General features: G+C 39.7%; 1 long non-coding RNA gene across 1 annotated transcript in view, besides 1 other annotated feature; it reads right to left on the reverse strand.

Moving 5' to 3' along the window:
* Positions 1–1,540: 1,540 nt before the first annotated feature.
* LOC102724068 (uncharacterized) overlaps positions 1,541–20,997 on the reverse strand; it is a 96,106-nt gene continuing 76,649 nt past the window's right edge. Inside the window, exon 3 of the long non-coding RNA XR_007096116.1 lies at positions 1,541–13,110. This is a non-coding gene — a long non-coding RNA (uncharacterized LOC102724068). The remainder of the gene's footprint in view (positions 13,111–20,997) is intronic.
* Positions 8,081–8,670: an enhancer, noted in NCBI's record as "OCT4-NANOG hESC enhancer chr3:140307280-140307869 (GRCh37/hg19 assembly coordinates)". NCBI's record gives its function as "activates a minimal SCP1, AML or CMV promoter by ChIP-STARR-seq in naive H9 embryonic stem cells {active_cell/tissue: H9 hESC(naive)}" and the evidence as "EXISTENCE:reporter gene assay evidence [ECO:0000049][PMID:30033119]".

Raw genomic sequence — 20,997 nt, forward strand, 5'->3', positions numbered from 1 at the left:
GTGATTGGGTCTTGTAGGTGATGGGTACTCATAAATGCCACTGCAAGTGTGGCAGAAGGACAGAGATGGTAAAAGCAAAGATTAGCCATGTGAGCATCTCGGCAGTGGTGTGCTGGTAAATGGTTAACAACCCCCTTTGGGGTTGGGGCAGGTCTAATTTGTAAAGTGTTGATTCCCATGGTGCAAGTACCACCATGGCTGGTTTTAAGCCATCAACATGATGTCACTGAGCTCAGAGTTGGAAAGAGATGCTACCATTGGCTTTTGGGAGCCAGCTCTAGCTCACATCACTGTTTAAAGATCAGATATCAAGAAAAACCCAAGAGCACCTTTAACCATGAACAAATAAGCCTGCCACCTTCCTAATGACTCAATCTAGTATTGGGAAGGCTCATGACCTACATGAAAACCTCCTTCACACAACCAGGGATAAAATGCTGCCACTTTCATTGATGACTGTAATCTCTGTTAATAGCTAAATAACTTGAATGGGGGCTGCTGGTTACATTAAGTGAGGCTTAGTCACTGAAGACTCTGTGGGGAGAAGGAACCAGAATGGAGAGACAGAGTGCTGTAAACTGACTATGCTCCAAAAGACAGAGGAGCCTGGAGGGCAGAAAGGACAAGTAACTCAGCTACCTTTCCTCCATCACAAACCACAAACCATGTGGCCACCTCCTGACTTTTCATGACTGAGAAATGAGACACAGCCAGGGTACAGGGAGCAGGGGGAGGAGAGGAAAAGAGCAATGCTGGGAGAGATGAAACGAGGCCTGAAATAGAGGAGAGTTGACAATATCAGGACCCCACCTAGAAGAACAGAAAATTTTCAAAAGAGGCCCAACCCCTAGTGCTCCTGTTTGCTCTCCTTTTGGAATTTGTTGTGAATTTTATAATCTTCTCTAGACTCAGTACTGCCCTATTTAAAGCCAAGCTGGAAATGTGGACAGCTCGGTGGAGGGCGGGGCCCCTGTAGAAACTGCCTGTGTTCATCAGGATTCTTTTTGGTGGCAAATTGGACAAATCTAAGCAAAAGGATATGTATTTTTCGCTCTCATAACCCAAAAGTGACAAGAGCTGAGGTGTGGCTGGGCCTCACTGATGACGAAAAGCTTAGGACTTGCTAAGGTGGTTAATATCTAAATCATTACATAAATCTAACTAATCATTGTACATAACCATATATAATTCCATACTTACATATTATGTGCTTACATACAATTAGGACTTGCTAAGGTTATTGAGATATATATATATATACACCTATATTTTATATAACTATATAAAATTATATATGTTTGGTATTGTATATATTGTAATAATACATTATATAATTTTATAAATTATATATAATATATATTAACCTTAGCAAGACCTAAATCATTCTATATTATATAAACATATAATTATACGGTGTATATTAGGTAATTAAATTACATATTATACTATATAATTAAATTACATAATTATATATTAATTACATAATTATATTGTATACTATTTATGTGTTAATATCAACATTTTATGCTATATCATTTATTAGGCCCTAACTAGGTGCCCCTCATGTCTGCCCTTTTTGCATATTGGCAGGTTTTTTCTAACCAATTTTTATTACTAGGTGGGTTCTGTAGTAGATGGCAGCTCTCAAGCTCACATTTTGTCTGCTATAACTTCAGAAAGGGAAGTGCTCTTCTCCTCGGTACTGGCTCAAAGTCTTGATTAAGCACTGCTTTGGCCCTCCCTGTGTCAGGTACAGCCCCTGGGGCTATGCATGGGACTAGGGTCCATGTCTGACAGCCTCCCTCTCTCCTCACCACCAAGAACAAATATCTGGGAGACAGATGGTGCAGGGGAGAGGGGAGGAGCATTGCTCAAAGAAGACACAGAGAACCTTCACTGAAAGAAGGAACAGGGCTGGGAAGACACAAGAAATAACTCCCCACTGACTGCTTCAGTTCAAGAAGCCCTTGAGCCTGATTTTCCTAATGTGCACTGCATGGAGCACATAGAATATTCTTCAATTGATGCGATTTTTTAAGGCTCCCTGAAAAGTTCTGTTCTTGAAAATAATGGGTTGAACAGGTTTTGTTTATTCTAGGAATTTTCAGGATGTTTACTGCAAATCATCTAAGGCAATAGGCAAGTGTTTCTCAGACCAATTTGACTATGGAACCCTTTACCTCCTTAAACATTTTTGGGACCAGCATTCACTCCAACATGCTTCAGGAACTGTGACCTTAAGTCTGAGATAAGGACCTGGAGCCAAGATGTAGGGTTCTTCCCCTTGTTAGTACCTCATTCCGGAGAACCATCCTGAATTAGACAATTAAGCATCCATTTAATATGACTTCTAGGATGAAGAACCTGCTCCATTTCCCTCAAGGCTTGTCTACTCTGACTACCCATTTAATATGCCTTACCTCCCCGTTTGTACCCTCTTGACCTTGCTCAGGAAGGTCTGATCTCAGGTTCAATCAGCCTATTTCAAAAGCTGAGAAAAGTTATGGAGGCCAAGTATGCAGACACTGCAGCTGACTAGAGGATGCTGGTGCACAGGTGTGATGGCAGCCATGACTGGTGCTGACCACCTGAGTGTCGACACCACAGGCTGGAAGATGGCTGGTGTCTCCAACCCCACAATGCTCAGGCATGGAAGGGAAATGGCCAAAGACAAAGGACTCCACACTGTCCTCAAGGCCCAGTACCCCGAGTGGCACATGGCAGCCCTGGGAAATGCCTTCTCTCTTCCTCTTCACTAGTTGTCCAGAGTGTTAACAGCCTGGGTTAAAGCTCACTCTGGGTCAGTCCCACTAAACTAGGACCAGAATATGTTAGCAAAATAAACCAAGGTACAAACCTTCCAAAGAGCCTCTGTGTCTTGTTAGTGATCCTAAAGCTGAATGGACTAAGGCTTACAAATGTTTTTCCCTGTAACAAATTTTTCATGGGAATCATTATAAATATATGTACTTTATTAAGCACTAACTAGGTGCCAGGAATTGTGCTGTGCCTTACATACATTATTTCATCTTCACCTCACAAAAATTGTATCAGATAAACACATTTATATCTCCATCTACGAATGAGGAAATAAAACACAGAAAGACAAATAATCCAAGGCTATGTGATACCAGGGTTCAGGGCCATACAGGATCCCCATCCAACTTAAACTGGTGCTTTCAATCTATATGTCCACTCAAGACAGTCTGCTTCATGTCACTCAAAAACTGGGTGTCAATATTCCATGTGTTTCCAGTGTTATTACAACTATAAAGCTACTTGGAAGCCCTTAAGAGGGAAAGCTCTGGATGCTGACATACATCACTTAATTCACTACATGCAAAGATGTACACACGTGCCCAATGGTTTCATCAGTGCCCTTGCTGGATACTAGCCCTGCAGCCTTGGATCCTGGGATCTGTGAACCTTCTTGCCTTACTCAGAGGCTCAGAAAACTCTCCCAGGTCTCTCATCTCTAAAGAACAGGAAGGTAGCCCCAAAAGCCCTCTGTCAATTGCCTTTGTGTTCCCCTTCCCAAGGCTACCTTGTCAAAGCTACCATTCCTGTTCTACCCTTCACTTTATCTGCCTTTACTCTTCCAATCACCACCAACATTTATAGTCACTCAATAACTGTACAATCATGTCCTGGATGACTACTATTTTGGGGAGACTAAGATAAATACTACACATGTATGTATGAGTGTGATACATATATACATATACCCACAAATACATCTACGCACACACATACATATCTGTGGCCTTCTATTTTCATGACACCTTAGTAAAACCACTTACTAGTCATGGCACCACTGTTATGTGACAATTTCACTGAGGTTTTGTTTCCTCATTTGTAAAATGGTGACTATGGTAACTTTCTTAAAGGACTCTTACAATAGTTACATGAGATAATTTCTGTAAACTGCCTGCCACAAAGTCCAGCCTTTGGGCACTCACTAAATAATTACTGTCACCACTACTGTCCCAGCATCCTTTAGTAATGAATTGTATGGCTCACATTATCATTCATTCAAATCTTCCTTTCTTCATTCACTGAGTTAATTCACTCATTCATTCAGAGATTCTGGGGTCGAGCCTAGATAAAATTCTCCATGGGTGGCCTCCTCAGATTATTTTGAGAAAGAGGGGAAAAAGAAAGGGCATGGAGATGTATTATACAAAGATTTGCTGAGTATTTACTTTGGATCAGGACTTCACTAGTATTTTCTATTTAATCCTTCCAGCAACCATGAAAGTATCTTCATCCTCATTTTAATGAAGCAACTGAGTTCCAGAAATATTAGGTCTCCTGTCCAAGGTCATACAGGTGGTGAGAGGCAGAGCCCAGATTCCATCACAGATGTCACATTCTGAATACTGTGGTTGTATCCCTGAGCCAAACGTCTACCCAAACCACTAGGGAATAATCAGCCTTGAAGAGTAAAATGTGGCTTTTAAGAAAGCAGAGTGTACAGTACTACAACCCAGTGACAAATGCCATTTTCCTTTTTAGCACTTTGAGCTACAATCAGTCCCCAAACACACACCAGATAGGAACTGAAAAGCCCTGGTTATACAAGTACTGTTCCAAAAATAAAATGAGTGTTTTTTATGAAAAGCCAGAGAGAGACTAAAAAACAGCAGGAGCGCAAACTATGTGGAAATACAGACTTAGAAATAAGGGAAAATCAATCTACTCTCCCAGAGCAGTAACACCATCCTCAAGATCTCTGACCATTTCCATGCCCTGAGACCCACAAGAACCCTGGAAACATAGAGCAACCTGAAGTCCTTATTCATTAACTATTCATTGCCAAAGATGTTCTGCAACTACTGTAACTCTGTTCCTCCTGTGAGTCATACCCTGTGCTAAGCACCAGAGACACCTACAGCACCAGGTTCTTGCCCTCACTGAATTTCCACTCTAGTGGAAAGAAAGGATTATTAAATAATCCTATAAATAAGTATATAACTGCACTTACAATAAGCACTATAAAGGAGAAACATCTGGAGCTGTGAGCCTCTATAATAGGGTGAAGTGCCATAATCAGGAAAACCTGATTACTTTAAATTTACATTACCCTAAAGAAGTGAAGAGTAAGTTGAGAGAGAGGGAGAAAGCGATGTGTATTGGTGAAAGTTCTTAGATACAAACAAGAAAGTCACCTTTAGCTAGTTTAAGACAGCAGGCTTTTATGGAGGGATATTAGACAGCTCACAGGATCATGGAGAGGACAGAGAACCTGAGCTTCTAGCATCACCTTCTCCAGCAGAAATAAACTGAGGCATGGGTACCAATACGGGATGGTGATCTAGAAAGATTTCCAACTTGCTTCTCTCCCTTTCTTCCCATATGACTTTCATTTCAAACTTTCCCTGTGGTTTCACCTCTTGAAACACCATGTCTCAGCTTGGATGAGCCACCTGAAAGACAATCAGTGAGTGTGTAGAGTAGGCATGAGGATCTTTCCAAATGGGCTCAAATTTTATCACTCAGGATTATGCTGCTCCCCTGCTCAAAATCTACTAAGAGTTTCATGACTTCAAGATAAAAGTGAAACCCACTGCATGGCTCCCAGCACTGTTAATGAGCTGGCTATAACCTACATATAACAGACACATCCACACCATTCCTTGCCTATGTGGAATTCTGCATTCCAGAGCTCGCCTACACATCCAACAGATGTAGCTAAGCAGTGGGTAAGGCAGCTGGAAAGTGAGAAGTGACCACAATGAGCAGGCGGCCTTCTGAAAAATGTAGCTATTTATCTGCCTCACTAGTGATGAGCAGCCACAAGCTTCCTCTGACAAGGCGTTTAAGGAATGGGAAAACTGCATTGTATCCTTTCCTTCTGTTAATAAACGATAAAGTAATTTGCACTTTATAAAAATATGTTAACTCTGTCACTTGGTAGGAGAGTACTTTGATTAAAAAGGCCCTCTGTGTACTCCGTCTCTCAACAGTAGCTAGAATTCTATCATTAAAGCCTGCTTCTAACAGATTTTGGCCCAAATACTAGAAGCTGGTTCTTCCACTATGAGGTGCCTCCAACAGAGAGACTGTTTGACAGAGAGGCCACGGGACAGATGACTTGCTACTAGGAAACCCTAATGAAGGTTTCCACAAATGTGCAATCTGTATGTGTGTCCAGCTCGCCTGAACAGGTTTGGCTGCCAGATTCAGGCCAGAAAAATGTAAATATTTTGTCTAGACTCAAGGATAAAGGTGGTGTTGATGAGTTTGTCTCCCCAGGTGTATTATTAAGGACTAGGCACTTCTAGTTGAAAACAGAAATTTAAGGTAACAGTTTCAGAACCGTGTGCTGGCTTAGGTGGAACCTCCAGATTTTTCTGGGGGTGAAGGTGCATGCTCAGCCTGCACTGTAAGCCCATCATGAAGGCAAGCTGGACTTCTGAAATAAGGACCTCTGGAGGATCTCGTCTGTATACAGTGAAATCTTAACACAAGACAGATGGGTTTGAATGTATTTTTCCCCTGACGTAAACATCTCCTGGGGAGAGCTAAGGCAGACTAGTCTGGGGATGTTCTTCTCCTGGGTGAGAGGCTAAGTATGAATGGAGAGTCCAAGGAAGCCCCACGTCAACCAGGATAATGGTGCAGTTTGTGTGGATATCTTATGGCTATAGAGCCTTTATGTTCTCTGGGATAAAAAAATATTTCCCTCAAATGCGATATTCTGCTTTAGACAACATTGTACACCTTAAAAACATCCCCAAAATCATAGAGCTCCAAATTTCCAAGGCTCTTATTTTGACTAACACACCAGAGAGTGAGAGAGAGAAGGAAAGAGGGAAGGAGAAAGGGAGGGATAGATGGAGAGAGAGGGAGAGAGAGAGGGAGGGAGAGAGGGAGCGAGGCAGGTAGAAGAAAGAAAACCAGACCTCCCACCTTCTTTAGTTTTTTAATAGGTTTAATTTACTATAAGATGAGAGTTTTAACCCCCAGAAATGGTAAAAAAAAAAAAAACTGTATGTTTTTGTGCATTTAGATGGTAAAAGATTTATAGTAGGCATAAAGAAAACAGTGATAGTTTAAAACTAAATTAACTACTCCAAAGAAATCCTTAGTTAAAAACTAACTAGACAGATTGTTACATAATTAAAGTGATAATTTCTTCAAATTTACTTCATTATAAATAGCATCGTACATATGTGAGAGAGAGAATAAGGAGAAATGGTTAGTTAACACTTGAAATATTTTGAACAGGAATCCACACTTCAGAGAGGGCTGCTTAAATTCTAATTATGAAAATCTATATATGAGACTTGTTTATCAGCTAAAAAGAGATCAGAAATTTTTTTTTTCAGAACCCAATAGAAAAATGGGCAAATAAAATGAACAAACAATTAACTGAAGGGAAAACTCAAGATGCTAAAAAGCATATAAAGATTTCTCAAACTCATTAATTCTAGAAATGCAAATTTAAACCAAAATCTGACATTACAGACCCATCAGATTGACAAAACTAGAGAGCTGGATAGCATCAAAGTTGGTGGAACTTGGAACCGCTGTGCACTATTGGTGGGAACACAGGCAGGGGCTGGGGCGGCCATGCTGGAAAGCAACCCAGCACCATTAACTAGGACCCAGAAATTCCCTTCTGAACAACCCCCAGGGAAGTTTTCTCAAATGCACATGGTAAATGGGCATGTTTGTTATAGCAGCATTTGCAGTACAAGGAGTTGAGGAAATGGAGGATGAATGATGAGGTGGAAGGTATGCAGATCAACATGCAGCCTTGGAAGCCATGTGTCAAAGATGGCAGAGCCAGGAGATGGAACCAGTTGGAAAAGCACTATGTGCCAATCAGGAACACTTGCTTTGGACTTTATAGGAGCAAGTTCATGTAAAGAAATTAAAAAAGAATTAAAACATGTCATAGGACAAAACTAAGAGATGTAACATTTCATCATCTAGTAACCATTGTATACACTTGGATTTGTGTGTTTAGGTTTCTGCATTTCCTTAATCAGATCTGTTACATCTGCCTGCTTACCTCAGGAATTAACCAAAAGAGTACTCCTCATTTTATTTCTTAAATAATCAAACGTCGTTTTAAAAAATAATAAGAAATACCCAGGTGAGAAATATTCAAATGTGGCTCTCTTTATAGGGGTGGAAGCTAAAATGAGGCCACTTATGAATAAAAATCCAATATTTCTAATGTGCTGGTCAAATATATACGGTTATATTAAGTTTTTAATTATACAAGTGGCTTTATTTTAACTCACTTAAGTTCGTGAGATAACCCTAATTGCCTATTTAGTATCCATTTCCACTTTCTTACTAACAAAACAATTCAAACTATTCAGCCTCCCTGCTGTCCTTGCTGCTAGGCATAGTGATTCAATTCAGTCTGGCAATAAGATGTGAGTGGCCCTGACGAAGATGTTTTGTCTGAAATATAAAAGAAAGCTTTGTTGAGAGGTAGCCTTTTGCTTTCCCCCTTCCTCCTTATTTCTACCTGGACCATGGATGAGAGGTTTGAAGGGCAGCAGCCACCTCATAACCATAAGGCACACCAAGACTGAGCCAGAAAGTCTGCATGTTGAGGGTGACAAAACAGAGGGATTTAAAGGAGCTGGGTTCTGGTGGCTTTGCCGAGCCACAGGAACAGCCTGGACTCCCTGCTACCCACCAACCCTACCCTACTTCTTATAATCTGTTAGTCAGTGTTAGTTGGTTTTCTATTATTTGCAGAAAAACAGATTCCTGATACCATGTTAATCTTTCTGCACAATTTCAAATACAAGGACTTCTGTTTTCTTAAAAAAGTGGGGATGGTGGAGAAAGCCATGAGCTTAGTGTTCTATAATTTATATAAATGTCTTGTAAAGTAATTTAAATGTATAGTTTTAAAATGATATTCAGAAATTAAGTTGAGGGGGAAAAAAGATTGTCTGATAAGTAAGGGTTTCTCCTGAATATCCAACATAAAATATGAAATTGAAAATCTAAAACTCTATTTATAAAAGTGTATTTTTTAAAACTTCTTTTAAAAAGTCAGCTTGACAGTGTGGTGATTCCTCAAAGAACTAAAAACAGAACTACCACTGGCCCAGCAATTCCATTACTGGGTATGCACCCAAAGGAGTAGAAATCATTCTACCTTAAAGACACATGCACATGTATGTTCACTGCAACAGTGTTTACAATAGCAAAGGCATGGAATCACCTAAATGACCATCAATGACAGATTGGATAAAGAAAGTGGACCACCTGAGGTTAGCAGTTCGAGACCAGCCTGGCCAATGTGGTGACACTCTGTCTCTACTAAAAATACAAAAATTAGCCAGGTCTGGTGGCGTGTGCCTGTAATCCCAGCTACTCGGGAGGCTGAGGCAAGAGAATCACTTGAACCTGGGAGGCGGAGGTTGCAGTGAGCTGAGATCGTGCCACTGCACTCCAGCCTGGGCAACAAGAGGGAAACTCCATCTCAAAAAAAAAAAAAAGTAAGAAAAAGAAAAAGAAACTTGGTACATATACACCATAGAATACTATGCAGCCATAAAAAAGGAAGAGATTGGGCTGGGCGCAGTGACTCACACCTGTAATCCCAGCACTTTGGGAGGCTGAGGCAGGCAGGTGGATCACCTAAGGTCAGGAGTTCCAGACCAGCCTGGCCAACATGGCAAAACCCAGTCTCTACTGAAAATTAAAAAAATTAAACGGGTGTGGTGGAGGGCACCTGTAATTCCAGCTACTCAGGAGGGTGAGGCAGGAGAATCACTTGAACCTGGGAGGCAGAGGTTGCAGTGAACTCAGATCATGCCATTGCACTCCAGCCTGGGTGACAAGAGCAAGACTCTGTCTCAAAAAAAAAAAAAGGGGAAGGGATTATGTCTTTTGCAGGAACATGAATAGAGCCTAGAGGCCATTATTCTTAGCAAACTAACACAGGAACAGAAAACCATATACTGCATGTTCTCACTTGTAAGTGGGAGTTAAATGATGGGAACGCATGGACACAAAGAGGTGGCTGGAAGGAAGGAGAAGATCAGAAAAAAATAACTACTGGGCACTGGGCTTAGTACCCAGGTGGCTAAATAATCTGTACAACAAACTCCTGTGGCAGAAGTTTACCTATATAAGAAACCTGCACGTGTAACTCTGAACCTCAAAGTTTTTTTTTTTTTAAAGATAAAAACATTTTTTAAAAGTCTGCTTGAGAAATAAATATGTCCTAACTAGGAAAAAGTGTAATATATACAAGTGTTTGTAAACAGCTGCAAGTTATAATTTTTATCAATTTCATGATAAATTCAAAATCAGGAAATAGAATGCTATTATAATCAAATTGTGCTTTAATTACTAATTTTATTTTTAAATATAATCTTCTAAAAAGAAAGTAATTAATATGCTATGAAACTGGCAACACTCTAAAATTATACTAAAGTATAAAAATAGAAACTTAAGATAAACATAAAATGACATTAGAAGTTCAAGGATAAAATTTCCACCATGAAGTTGTAGAATCTGAGCCAAGAAAAGAAAACAGAACTATTCCCTAACTTGTCTTCTAAGAAAACAAATCTTACACATGAGCTTTATTCTCTCTAAATGATTGGTAATTTCAAACTTGGGAACTTTTTATTGAATGCTTTAGTTCAAAAGAAATAAAAACATATTGTATAATAAAACTGGGAAATTTAACTTTTCATAGTCTAGCAATTTCCTTATAAACTGAAATAAGAAAAAAACATCTATTGGTAATTTTTTTTGTTGAAATTCAATTCTTTATAAGTGACTGTGTGATTTATCTGTCTAGCATTTGCACAGTTTCTACAGAAAGCAAAGATAGAAATATATCATGACATATTTTAATTATACCAAGATTAGGTTTTATGGCAGAGGCAAAGTAGCTGAAACTTTTTATGACTGCAATTTTCTACATTTTTATACTTATTTTCATATAAAAACAACAATAAAATACAGTCTAGTTACTCTTAATTAAATTGATACTGGAAAATATATAAATGTAATGTTAATGTGGTATTACAATATTACAAATAATATTTCTAAATCCAAAGAACTGGGTTTTAAAAAATAAATTGCTTCTAATGAAACTAGATATTGTAAAATTATATAGATGCACACTGGGTTTACATAATTTTTAAGAAAAGTATTTTGGTAATACTGTTAATATTAATTGTAAGGTATCATTAATTTCCTTATATTTTGCTGCCTTCTATCTTCTGGGACCCTGGATTTATACAATATCGAGTGTGGCAGAGAACTGTACCACCTGCCATGGAGGAATTGTGCTCCTCCATGCAATTAGATGAGACTGCATGCTTAGTCCTGGCCAATGTGCTGTGGATCAAAGCGGTACGTGCCCCTTCCCAGACAAAGCATTGCAGAGACAGGATGTGATACAGCATCTCTCTTTTTCCCCTGCTGAGGATGGTGCAGTTTTAAGATGGTGGGCCTGGCAATGGCTCACACCTGTAATCCCAGAACTTTGGGAGGCTGAGGTGAGTGAATCACCTGAGGTCAGGAGCTTGAGACCAGCCTGGCCAACTTGGTGAAACCCCGTCTCTACTAAAAATACTCTGTCTCAAAAAAAAAAAAAAAATACGGTGGACCCATGTCAGAGTGAATCCCTGAGTAATCATGTGGAGCATAACTCCCACTGACCCATAGTAAATATAAACCATGAGTGGAAAATAAATCTTTGATGTGTTAAACTATGTAGATTTATTTTGGCTAATTAACTGAGATAATTAGTATGTCTCTACTCATCTAAATAGAGTTCAACACAAAACTATCTAGAATGAGAGTTAAATAATGTCATTAATAAATACACATGCATATGCAAAATCTAGGTTTACATTTTAGTCCACAGAGATAATTTCAAGCAAAACACAATATTTTCCATTTGTCTATGTTCTGTACTAATTGTATGGAATGTCTCCATCACATACCAAAAGTCCTATGGTTTTGTATTTCTTCAAGTCTTTCTGAGGAAAAATAAAAAGTGAATGAAAGTAGTTTTTTCCTCCAAATTATATACCATAACCAGATGATACCAAGAAGGAAAATTACCTGGAACTCTAAAATGTAAAACACACTCACCATTATTTGGGTCTTCACCAACCACCAAGTGTTTCTTGAAAGCTCTGTGGGATCTATTGTGCACTAAAAATCATGCTCAAATTCAGGACCCCCCCCCCCCACCCCTGGAGACCAATCTTCCTTCTACGTTTTGACCACTTCTTCCTTGTGTTCTCTGTATACTCCTCCTCTTCTTTGCCTTCAGTGGAGTGGGTCTCAGGGTTTGGTTCTATGTCCCTAACCCTTTCACTCCACACACTCTTCTTTGAAAAGCTCATCCCTATCTGTGGCTTCATTGACTTCCAAATCTCCCCCCACTATGCAGATCCCTTATCAGCAGTGTGGGCGCATGTGGCACCCAAAGGGCATCTCCACTTAGGTGTCTGGTAAGAACCTCAAGAAGTTCATCATTTCCCCCCAGCAAGCCTGCTTCTCTTCCTCTGTCCCTGCTCTCAGCATTGTCATCAACCCACACATCTAGAATATTATCCTTGGAAATCCTCTCTCATCAAGTTTCCTCCCACCCCACACTCCTTAGTTTTCCCATTAAACTCGGACCTTTTTTCACACACAGCTACACTCACCCATATTGCTGCACCAGCTCCAGTCTTACCCCACTCCTACCCATTCAACACTGCTTCAAGTGAGCTTCCTAAATGCCAATCTCACCTAAATCCTTCAATGCCTCCCCATCACCTAGGATTGAGTCCCCTTAGCATAGTACTCCAGGTTCCCTTTGATCTCATGCCTACATTTTTGTAATGGAGCCTCTTTTCTCCCTACTCCTCTCCCTAGCATCTGAGCTCCAGCTGTACTGAACTCCCTGTGCACCCTGGACTCTGCTTGCACCCTCATCTCTGGACCCTTGTTCATGCTATGCCCTGTGTCTGAAATGCCTTTCTCATCCAGTTCATCTGGTTAAGCACTAGTCATCATTCAGGTGTCAGTGTGGGCACTCCTTCTCTGAAGATGCCTTCTCTGCCAAGTTGAGCCAGGCTTCTCCTCTCTGATGTTCCACTTCCCTGTGCTTCCCTAAAGTGGAAAGATAGAATCACCCTGTCATTGCCTGTCTACTAGCCTATTTATCCTCCTCACTCCCAACTCTATGAGCTTTCTATGGGCAGTGTCAGAGGTAGATTCTCCATGAATCTGAGGATGCCCGAGCTTCAGGTTCCTCACTTGCCCAGCTCCTTCCCAGGGCTCTTAGAGGGGCCACAACAATGTCCTCAATCAGTGAGAACACAATCGTCAACAATGTCTTCTCATGGTCATATGATTTGTCAAAAAGATTCAAACACAACCCATTAAAAATGCCATCTTTTTCTACCTGACTTCCCCTCTATGTCACTTCCTTTCACGTGGGGTACACTGAAGTGGCTGTGGGATAGGTTTAATTTGGGGTCAGTGGGGGTATTTTACAAAAGCGCTTCACAGTAACTTCCGTGGAATATTCTTACTGTCTACTGCACAGACCCCTCCAGTATCATGTACAAAAGTGCAGGGCCAGAGATTGTGTTATGATATGAACATGTTCTACAGCACCTGGAGGTGGAAGATAAGCAAAGTTTAAAATGCTCAGAGCTGGAAGCTTATCTGTGTAATATTCTTAAAATCACAGGAAGAATAAAATTACTAGCAAAGACTTCTATGTTCCTCCACATCTAGATTGAAAATGCCTCTCAGGAATATATTCAATAATGTCATATATGGAATTATAAATTTGGCACACATTTAAACATTTTTTATAGGAATACCACAAAATAAATTGTGTCATAATTCTTGTGCTATAGGGCACAAACCTGTAACAAAGCTACAAACAGAGAACATGTCGATATGGGAAGTAGCATGTTTTAAACATCCCTATGGATCAGGGCAGATCTTGGTGTATCTGAAACAATTTGTCTTCCCCAAACCTGAAAGATTCAGATAAAACAGCATACAAAATCATCACCAATGCAGGAAGATGATCTGAAGAAAGCAGCCTGGCAAAAATGCTACACAATGTATGTAGTATAAAAGTAAGTTCACAGGGTACTATGTTAAACATGTATTTAAACTCCTTTGTGTATGCATTAATTTCAGAATAATATTGTCTATTTTTTGGAATTATCACTGCAAAACTCAAATATGACAGAAAGGAAGCATCCTAGTGGAAGCCAAAAATGTCAACTGAGAGACTAGCAAAGGCTTCACAATGTCCAAACCTCCTATGTCACATGGATTAAAAAGCTGATGGCACAGAGGAAGATAAGGAAAGAATCACGATATTCAAAAAACAGAAATAGATAAAAAAAAAAGAAGGGATAAAAAGGTTATAAGAATCAACACACTATCAAACAAGAAATAAAAGAGCAGAAGAGATGGAGTGCAGAATTCATATATCCAAGGTAGAGGTTTTGTCCACATTCACAACAATCCTCACTCTTACATGACATTACCGTAACGATGCATGAGGATAAAAAACTTTTCCCAGCTCTCGATAATATAAAGCAATTTTTGATGATAAACTATACAAGACAAAGGACTGAATCGTCTTTTGGTCCTTCTTGGAAAATAACATCACAAAAACATTGTCATATGAAGAGATGATCAAAGACCATGCTATCAAAATATAATAACAAATACTATAGATATATGTCAGTTAATTCAAGTAGAGGATTGTTTTTCTGAATTTTTCAGCTTTTAAAAATGTAAAATTTGATGTAATTTCTTATGCTAAATAAATATTCACATTTTACCTATATTCATAATCTTATATTATTTTCACTAAAAGGATACATAGCAGTGAGATCCACTCCCAGGTGGGTGAGGACTCTTTTTCATATTTCTACCCCCTATCTCAGCCCTGTGCTGGCACCTTGGACTTGCTCAGTAAATGAAAGGGATGAGTTAGTGAGCTGGCTATGTTACTATCACCCTGCCTCTGTGACTGCCTAAGTCATGCCACCCTTTAGGCCTCTGATTATTCCTTTACATACAGAGAGTCCTTTCTTTCCCAAGGGTTTGGACATCCCTAGGGCTGAGGGATCTGCCTCAGAGTCTGCCAAGTCAGTCAGCAAAACCGCAGAACAGCTTGTACTCCACAGATAAGCAAATGTCCTGGGAACTTTATTTGGCTTTTTGTTTGTTTGTTCAAGGACTTCAACTTTTTAGAGCAGTTTGAGGTTCATGGAAAAACTGAATGGAAGGTAGAGAGATTTCCCACATACCCTCTCCCCGACACATCTAGAGCCTCCCCCATCATCAACATCCCCACCAGAGTGGCACATCATTTCCACCCATAGTTTATACCAAGGTGTCGTACATCCTATGGGTTTTAACAAATGCATAGCAACATGGATCCATCATTATAGTGTCTTAAGAGTAGTAGTTTCACTGCCCCCCAAAATCCTCTATGCTTTGCTTATTCATCATTTTTTCTCCCAAACTATTTATCTTTTTACTGTCTTCATAATTTTGCCATTTTTAGAATGTCATATAGTTAGAATCATACAGTATGTAGCCTTTTAAAATTGGCTTCACTTAGTAATATACATTAAAGTTTCTTCCATGTCTTTTCATGGCTTAACAGTACATTAATTTTTAGTTCTGAATAATATTCCATCATCTGGATGTACCACAGTCTATTTATCCACTCACCTACCGAAGGAAATCTTGGTTGCTTCCAAGTTTTGGCAACTATGAATAAAGCTACTATAAAGATCTATGTGCAGGTTTTTGTGTGGACGTAAGTTTACAATTCCTTTGGGTAAATACCAAGGAGCATGACTGGGAGATAATACAGTAAAAGTATGTTTAATTTTGTAAGAAATCATAGAAACTTTGTTTTTGATGCACATGGCCCAGCAAGGAGTCCCTCTGTAACTGGGCCATTGTAGTTAAGCCAACATAGAAGTGATTGATCACCTGAAATCACATCCTATGTTGCACGTTCCTGCCCTATGGACAGTCTACAGGCTTGTTGATTTGCACATGAAATGGAAAGCATCTCACCATTCTCTAAAGCAATGGAAAATTCTCTCATCCTCTGTCATGGCTGATTCTTTGCACAGGTAACGTGCAGTGAGGATGCTCAGCTCACATTGATTTAGCATAGCCAGGCCTTCACTGTGTGTATTCTCCTGTTGGCTGCCTGAGTTCAAGGCAAGGCTGTTAATTCTCCTGCTTCAGGATGTTAGAGGATGGTTGAAGTTATTTTTTTTTTCCTGGGCATATTTAAATGGACCTAGGACATTGTAATGGCTTGCCACAAATGGACTCCCTTCCAAAGGCAAGCTGCCCAACTTGATAATTTCTTTGAAGGCTCACATTCTGCTGCTGTCTCCTTCTACCCAAGTGCTGAGCAGAAGCCATGTGTGGAGCCAGGCTTCTACCATGGGGACCCACCCACAGCCCAGTGCAGAAAAGGACATTCATGCTGAATGTGCAACTGTCAGAATAAGCTACCGACTGTGCACTGAAGGAGACTCAGTTTTTCTTGCTCTAATAAATACTATAGAATACTTCTAGTAAAAACAACTATAGGGCACAAGCCCTGCCCAAGAGCTTTATTTTTCTAGTCAATCCTCTCAACAAGGGCAATCAGTTGGTAATACCCAAACAGACAAAACTCCCTGTATTTAACACTGTTTGCTTAATTGTAAAATAGCAGTGATGACAGAAACCACAACTGACTGCACACCTGCCTGGTGCCAGACCCTGTCCTAGGCAATGGGAGTGAAAGGTGAGAAAAACACATTTTCTTCTCACAGCATTAAGGAGCTCATGGGGTCGGGATGGAGACAGACATTTAAACAGGGGATTTACAACAAAGCAAATCACAAACAACACAATGTTTAAAGGGAAGCTTGAGCAAGTCAGAGACATTTTTTGCTAATGCAGGACTAAAAGGAAGCTATTTGGCTTCCCAAAATAATTTTCTATGAAAACCCTTCCAGATTGTATTTAAAATAGAATTGGGTTTAGAGAAGGACGGGAAAACAGAGAGATGCAGACCCAACATCCAATCTTCATTGCTATGCATCTTTCCCCCATTAATCTTCACAGTAACTCCCATTATGTTATCACCACTTGATTATCTTTGTTTCTCAGATAAGAAAAAAACTGAGGCTCAGAGAGGTTAAGAGACCAAAGCCAGGTCACACAGCAGCACTAAATCTGAATGCAAGTGTGTAAAATTGTCAAGCCCATGTGTTCTCCAGCACCCAGCAATCTTTTCCGGAATGCAGACATAATACGAATAAGGGACCCCCTTGTATTATAGAACCTGGAACTTGAGAAACCCCCAGGCTGAATTGGAGGTGTTGAGTCCTGTTTCTTCATTTCTTTTTCCCCTTTCTCCTCCTGTTAAACACAGCTGCTTCACCTTACCAAGCCCAAAATTCATTGCTGCTGGTGTTCAGGCCTGAGCTCAGCTCTCTGGGGACCATGTTTGAGGAGCTTGGTGACTCAGGCCCTCCGCTCTAAATTCCTATTAAGCACTCTAGATTTAATAGCTGCTATTAATACAAATTATGCTTCATTAAGCATGAAGCTAAGGAGAATGCAACTTGGAGGCTCCAGTTCAATACAGGGCTGAAGGACAAACAGAACGGCTATTTTTAATCCTGGCAATGTCAGTGGGGAGAGAACAGCCTAACATTGCATGTGCCTGTCCCTACTTCTGCAAATTGAGTTTTCACATTTTCAAATAAGCATCCCTTGTTTTCAGCTTGTGATGTGTGACAGAGGTAAACCTTTCTAATCCTTGAGAGCTAGTAGTATCAAGAACATTTTTCCCTTCAGGAAACTTTTTTTCTACAAAACCTAAGAAGGTACAGGGAGCGAGAAGCTACCAGCAGGTCCCCTAGCAGGGGTTTCCGTTAGAAATCTTTCTGCAGACTCCAACTCCACACCTCAGTGAAGGCTCATGGGCTGGGGGTTAGGAAACCTTGCTATGCCACCCTATTCACCTCGCTGGTTTTATAGACTGTGTTCTATTCAGAGGCAGCTCAAAAGTAGGCAAAAATCATAACTGTGGAGTTCTTCTAGATTGGCAATCAGTAAGTATTTTCTGTAAAAGGCCAGAAAACAAACATTTTAGGCTTTGTAAGACCTATAATCTCTGCAATTGCCGCACAAAAGCCACTACAGACTACACATAAAGGTATGCGCATGACCGTGTTCCAATAAAACTTTATCTGCAAAAATTAGGTGTAGGCCAGATTTGGACCACAGGCCATAGCACCCTACTTCTGTCTGCTTCAAATTGTCTGTCTCATCATAGATTTTGTTGTCATGGGTATAACCTTAGTTTTGTAAGAATATGTTATGACAACTCTGTTTACCTACAAAATTGTGACAGCTGACAGTCATTTAAAAAGAAATTCTCTGTGTGATACCAGTACAGGCTTATGGCATTACCATGTTTGGATGGCTCGAATTTAGTTGTTAGTCCCACTATGTTCAACTAAGTCTGTATCACATTGATGGGGGTGCAATTTGCAATCAGCACTTTAGCTGATAAGTCAATTTGGATATTTTTGTATTTTATATAGTACATGATCATTTTTGTTATAAGAATCTGACAATGAGTACACTGCCCTTTCTTCTAATGAAATGTTCTAGTTTACCCACTATAGTAGGTAAGATATCTGTTTGGCTAATTTTCATTCCTACCTCCTTTTGAGAAGTTCCTTGCCCTTCAATTTGATGTTATTGCTTTGGCCAATGAGATATTAGAGCACATAAAGGGAGGAGAAGCTTGAAATGACAGGTCTGAGCATGCTTTCCACCATAAGTCATTCCAATAAGGTGATAGAGCTGCTTCCAAGAGTATATGAGGAATAGGGTAAGCCCTTGAATAAGATTGCTAGGGGAAAAAGAAAACAAAATTAAAAAAAAAAAAACAGATTGCTAGGCCAGATGCAAAACTAGTCACTGTCTTACAGGGCAGTAAGACCACAACTGAGGGTTGGCAAGGGAGAGGTTATTTTCTGTTAAACAGATTACAAATTGGCATATAACTTGACAATGTCTGGACCAAAATAGTGAATAGCAAGGTCAGACACAGGTACATTCTCATAGATATTAAAAATTAATCTTCAGTTGAACCTGTTAACCATTGGAAGGATATCTGCCTGCATTTTTGCCTTATTCTCAAGCTTTAAGCAATTTTTCTTCATAATGTTGAGGGCTACATAATGATCCCAAAGAATGGTCTTGAAGTTGTAAAGGAAAGTCAGTGCCTAAGCAACAGCACTCAGGAATTTCCTAGGTGCAGCAGATCTGTTGACTCATGCAATGATGCGGCCATTCATTGTAAATAAACCATAGGTTTTGTGTACCCTGTTGCCTCAGCTGTTCCACCCAGTGTCAGGGGCAGAATGGCCAGAAACCCCATGATAAAGGAAGGCACAGGTCTTTCTTCCCATGCAGTGGCTTTTGTGGACTGGCTTAGACTGAGAACAATTGCAGCATCAGTAGATCCACTTGAAGCTCCACTTCAATTTCTTTAGCTTTCCCTGACATTGAGGCCACTAAGAAGGTTCGAACTCATCCAAATGGGTTAAAATGAATAGTCATCTGATTTTATTGGCCTCACTATATCTATATAAAGCAAATACGTCAAGACTCCAGAATTGTCATGGTAATAACAGTATGCCTAAAGCTGAGACAGCCTCTGCAACTATTAAGGAAAGGGAGAAACACTGACCTTGAGTCCTGACATTGTTGGACCACTCAGTGAACCCTGGAATACCCAACCTTACTTATCCTAAAGTAAATCATAAATGTCCTTATGGTTTAGCCAATGTTGATTGGGTTTCTGCTTACATGAGGCCAAATGCACCCTAATTAAAACAGTGTGTGTGTATGTGTGTGTGTGGTGTGTGTGGTGTGTGTGTATGTATATGAAGATAAGGAGGTGAGGCAAGACCTCTCTCTTAAAATGAGCCTACAGACCCAAATTCCGAATGCATGAGGAAATCAAATGCAATGGAAGACAAAATAATCAAATATGAATTCATTCCAGATGAGAGTAAAATTATAGACACTCTGATGATGACTTTAAATATGTCTAGGATCCTTATGAGAAGAATTATAAGTAAAAGTGACAGGAATTATGAGACAAAATAATGCATAAATTAAAATCACAGTCAGCTATTGAAATATATTTAATTTTCAAGATTTCTGATTCTGTTCATTATCTTTTTATATTTTTTCTATTTTAAGCATTTTAAAGATGCTTTGGCCAGTATCAAATTGATACTCCTAAGGGTGTATCAATTTGACTTGACTAAAAGTCCCAGAAATATTAAAGATGACAAGATAGAAAAATATGCCTCAAAGAATGTAGAAATTACATAAAGAACTAAATTGTCTAATTTTATGTTTAACAGTTTCCCAAATGTGACAACAACTCTATTGTCCCAAATGTGACATTTATGGAAATAAAGTGTACAACTGAAAAACAATTTCCAAAACTATTGATGACAAAAAGCAAATTTGGATCAACCACACTAGAAGATTGATTGATTTACTATTTAATTCTCTCTATAAACAATGACATTGCCAAATTATTGACATGTGAGAAGGCAATCCAAAGAAGCAGCCAAAAATGTACTGAGAGGAGCTAATCCAGGAAACTCTATTTATTAGATGATGCTGAAGGCCAGTGTCATAACTCCACATCCCAGCACTAGCTGCATCTCCAGCCCCTCAGCACAGGTGCTGCCCTTGATCGGGCAGAGCACCTGACTCAGTACTCAGGGACACAGCACAGATTCTGAACACTAGTGGTAGGATGCAACTAAGCACTGTGACTTGCACCTCTCCACCCTGTGCCTACCTAGACAGCCAATCATCCCAATTGAACCCTGAACTAATACATGAGGTTGAGGTTTCTTTAGCTTACGATATACAAATCAAGGATTTCTGTCC

The sequence above is a fragment of the Homo sapiens genome, chromosome 3 (assembly GCF_000001405.40).
Source record: "Homo sapiens chromosome 3, GRCh38.p14 Primary Assembly".
Lineage (NCBI taxonomy): Eukaryota > Metazoa > Chordata > Mammalia > Primates > Hominidae > Homo > Homo sapiens.